Source organism: Homo sapiens, chromosome 8, assembly GCF_000001405.40.
Source record: "Homo sapiens chromosome 8, GRCh38.p14 Primary Assembly".
Taxonomy (NCBI): domain Eukaryota; kingdom Metazoa; phylum Chordata; class Mammalia; order Primates; family Hominidae; genus Homo; species Homo sapiens.
Genome location: NC_000008.11, coordinates 73,124,397 through 73,128,781, shown reverse-complemented (window position 1 = coordinate 73,128,781; position 4,385 = coordinate 73,124,397).

Sequence of the window (4,385 nt, the reverse complement as noted above, 5' to 3'; positions counted from 1 at the left end):
ATGTTAACGATTATCTGAGCCTTCAGTGCATTGTAATCTCTTCACTGGTGGAGGGTCTTGCCTCAATGTTGATGGCTGCTGACTGATCAGGGTGGTGGTTGCTTAAGGTTGGGAGGCTGTGGCAATTTCTTCAATAAGACAAGAGTGAAGTTTGCTGCATTGATTGACTTTTCCTTTCATGAAAGATTTCTCTATAGCATGTGATGCTGTTTGATAGCATTTCCCCACAATAGAATTTCTTTCAAATTTGGAATTAATCCTCTCAAATTCTGATGCTGCTTTATCAAATAAGTTTATGTAATAGTCTAAATCCTGTGTTGTTATTTCAACAATGTTCATAACATCTTTATCAGAGGGCTCAGAAGGGAACAAGAAACATGTTATTGGAAGCTGGAGGACAGGGGATTCTTGTAATATAGTGGCAGAAAGCTGAGCAGAATTGTGTCCTGCAATTATGTGGAAAGCAGAGCTTCCAAGTGATGAAACTGAACACTAGGTTGAGACTTCCAAGAAAGGTCCTAAGACGTGGTCTGGTTTTGCTGCTTATAGTGAAGTGTGAGAGGAATGAGATAAATTGTGTGAAGAACAGTTAAACCAAAAGAATTCAAGACTTGATTATTTGGGGAATTCTCATTTTACCCAGATTGCAAAAGATGCTAAAATTAAGAGATTCACCATCAAAAAGCATGCTGTAGAGAAAAAGCTGAGATCATGGCTGGATCTGTTTGATAATACTCTGGAAAAATAAAACATTTCAGAAAAATGAAAAGTTCAAAGTCTTTAGTCACAAAAGAAAAAAAACACAAAAAACTTTTTTGTAAAGATTAAAGATGCACCTCACAGATCCCATTATCTCAGCAGAAACCAAAAATAGAGATGGGATTATCTAGGAAAGATCTTTGAAGGATCCTTTCATCAAATGGAGTAAATCCCTGTGATTTAACATGGGAGACTTACAAGGTTTCTGAGGATTTTTATACCTGCTGAAACACTTCCAGCTTGGACCGAAAAGGACAGAGTGCAAAATGAAAGAAGCCTGTTGGTCCCCTGAAATTCAGAACACAGACCAATAAAACTACTCAGCTGCCTTTTATGAAAAAGGAAGGATGGCTCAGGCAGCAGAGCAGTGAACTACAGAGGATTAGTTTTAGGTTTTAAAACCAAATGGAGTTTGCCTCACTGCAGTTTGAAATCACTTGATTGATGATTTCTTTTTTCTTCTATTTTCTCCTTTTTTGAACAGAAATGTCTATGTCATCCTATGCCTGTCCTGCCATTGTATTTTCAGAGAAGATAACCTGAACTAAAAAAAGATAACCTTTTTTTAGTTCACAAGTCTAGGTAGAGAGAAACTGTGCCCGAAGATCTGTTACACCCAGAGGCTGACCCATACCTTATTTAGATGATTTAGACAATGAGATTTGGCACTTTGAATTTGTGCTATAATGGGTTGAGACTCTGGGTGCACTGGGATAGGGTTAATGTATTTTGCATGTGGGGCAGACATGAATCTTTCAGTGCCAGAAGGTGGACTGTCCTAGGCAGAATAATGTGCAGCCACTCAAGATGCCCACACCCCAATACCTGGAACCTGTGAGTATGTTATGTGGCATGGTGAAAGAGAAGGTTGCAGATGTAACTAGGTTTGCTAATTAGCTCACTTAAGACGGGGAGATTAGTCTAGATGATCTCAGTAGGACCAGTTTATTTATATGAGTCTTTAAAAGTGGAAGAAGAATCAGAGGCTCAGAGATGGTGGGTGAAAGGGACTGGGCCCACTGTTGCTGGCTTTGGAAACAGGGGGAAGGGCCTTGAGTCCAGGAATGAAGGCAGCCTATGGAAACTGGAAAAGGTAAGGAAACAGATTCTCCTCTAGAGCCTTCAGAAAGGAACTCAGCCCTGATAACACCTTCATTTCAGCCCCGTGCAACCCTTGGCAGACTTCTGATCTGCAGGCTGGAGATAACACGTTAGTGTTGTTTTAAGCCACCATGTTTATTGTAATTTGTTACAGCAGTGATAGAAAATAAAATACATTTAGTGTCTATCAGAAACACTTGGAAGGCTTATTACAATATAGATTGTTTTCCCCAAGTTTGTGACTCAGTAGATCTTGGGCGGGGCCTGAAAATAGGCCTTTCTTTCTCAGGAGAAACTGACGCTGCTGGACTGGGGACCACACTTGGAGAATCCCTGCTTTATCTCCTTTAAGGCCTAAACTGTGGCAGGTCACTCAGCTTCTGAAGTGTTCCATGTTATTTATTTAACAATACTTTGTATCCTTTGGCTTGAGAAATTTAAAAGTGAAAAGAGGACTTGAAGGGATGGGTGTTAGAAAGCAATTAGTACCCTAAGCGTGCACAGAGAAGTTTGTAAAAGTCATTCTTATTCCCTGTAGCACACAAATGGGGATGGGCTCATGTCAGAGAGATCAGCAGCGGCCCATTCAAGAATGTAATTAGAGATAACAGCATCTGAGTGTGTTATGTTTTCCATGGTATGGAGCTGGATCCAATGGTTCTCATCACTCAGCATGGCAGTAATCCTTGGCATGGAGCTAAATGGAACAGTGACTTCAGAATGACAACATTGATCTTGATTTTAAACTGAGCTCAGGAATTTTTGTGTTCTCAGGTTTCACTGCATGCCTGGTATTGCACAAATTCTTCAGGTTCTTTTGCTCTAAATAGGCCTTTTTAAGCTCAAAATCAGTTCTGTATGCTGAATGGACTCTCTGACTCAAGGCCAGGCACAACAGCAGGTTCACAATAGATTTTGTATTCTTGCTGGGCCTCCTCAACATCACTTTGCAAGTAGTAGCTTTGGAAGAATATACAATGGTACTCTGTATTATTTTTCAAAGCACATTCATGTCTTTCATCTCATCCTAGCTGTCACAGATATTAATGACAAAGCCAGGAAGAGAATCCAGGTTTCCTGGATCTTAGACTCATGTTCTATCTGCTTTGTGCTCCTGAAACACTTTTACGTCAGTCTCTAGATCAATGCCCAGAATGTTGTTCCATCTATAGGCGAAACATAGCCTGTGGGGTAGGGGGGGAGAAAGAAAGAGAGAAATAGAGAGAGACAGACAGAGATAGAGACAGGGAAGGAAAGAGAGAGAGAAACCGACAGAGACAGAGACAGAGGCAGAGAGAGGAAGAAAGAACAAAAAAGTGAAGAAGATGAAGGTAACCCCCAAACAGGGAAGGATAAGCAAAGGAGGAAAAGAGAAAGAAAGAAGAAAGAAAATAGACGCTGAACCCCCTAAAGGACCACTGGGAGCCATAACCTTCCATGTCCGTGAATAGGAATAATAATCTAGTTTCCTTGGGATGGTGACAAAAACACCATCATAACCCCGAGAGAAGCGGTGGGTGTCACAGTGATTAATTACAGATAACAGTTGTCACTTCCTTTTCCCTTGTCTCCTTGCCCTGCCCTTCAGTGATGGCTGAGCTTCTGTTGCCTCCTCCCCACTTTCTTCTCCCTCACTGCTGGGGTCTGAGAGAGCTGTGTAGAGAGGTTACCTGCCTGCAGGTCACCTTGTGCTGTTCACAGGCTGATCTCAGGGTCCTCATGGGGCAAAGTGAGGACTGGACAATGACACGGACATGCTGCCTATCGCTTGGCTCCAGTCCCATGCTGTTAGCATCACAGAGCACCCAGAGTGATTTCTGGAACAGAAACTGGACAAACAACCCTTGCCGTTCTTTTTAGGTTTCATCTTGACTACTATAATATTTAGATCATGAAACCTTTTGACAGTGAATGAGAGTCAGTGTAACACTGCTCAAAATGGTGAAATATTTTGAGAATCTAGAATGGAAACACAATATCCCTTATGTAAGTATGCTTCAACAACTGTCAGTATGACCGGGTTAGGGGATGGGGAGATGGCAAAGAGGAAATGCCTGTCAAATGTTAGAGGATGTGCTGGGTTTTGTGTTGACTCTTAGTATCCAGAACCATCTCACTTTGTTCAAGGATCTCTTTCTTATTCCTCATCTGTATTCTCTCATCCTATTCTCTTACCTACATAGGAGTTTCTTGAGTAGTCAGGATCCTGGCATAGCACCTGGCACACTGCAGGTGCTTAATGAATGAGTAGGGGGATACTGGAGACAGAGAGGCACTGCTTGTGGGAAGAGCTCAGGCAGAGATTGCTGGATCTGTCATTTGGCAGGGGTGTGGGAGTCATGCATCAGACAGATGGTTAGGCTCCATGATTCTACCATTCCTCCAAACCCTGAGAGTTCACAGTTCTTATGTATTTAGAAAAGTTCAGAAATGCCAATATCTGCATCTGAAAGTGTGATGGTTAATACCGAGTGTCAACTTGATTGGATTGAAGGATACAAAGTATTGTTCCTCAGTGTGTCTGT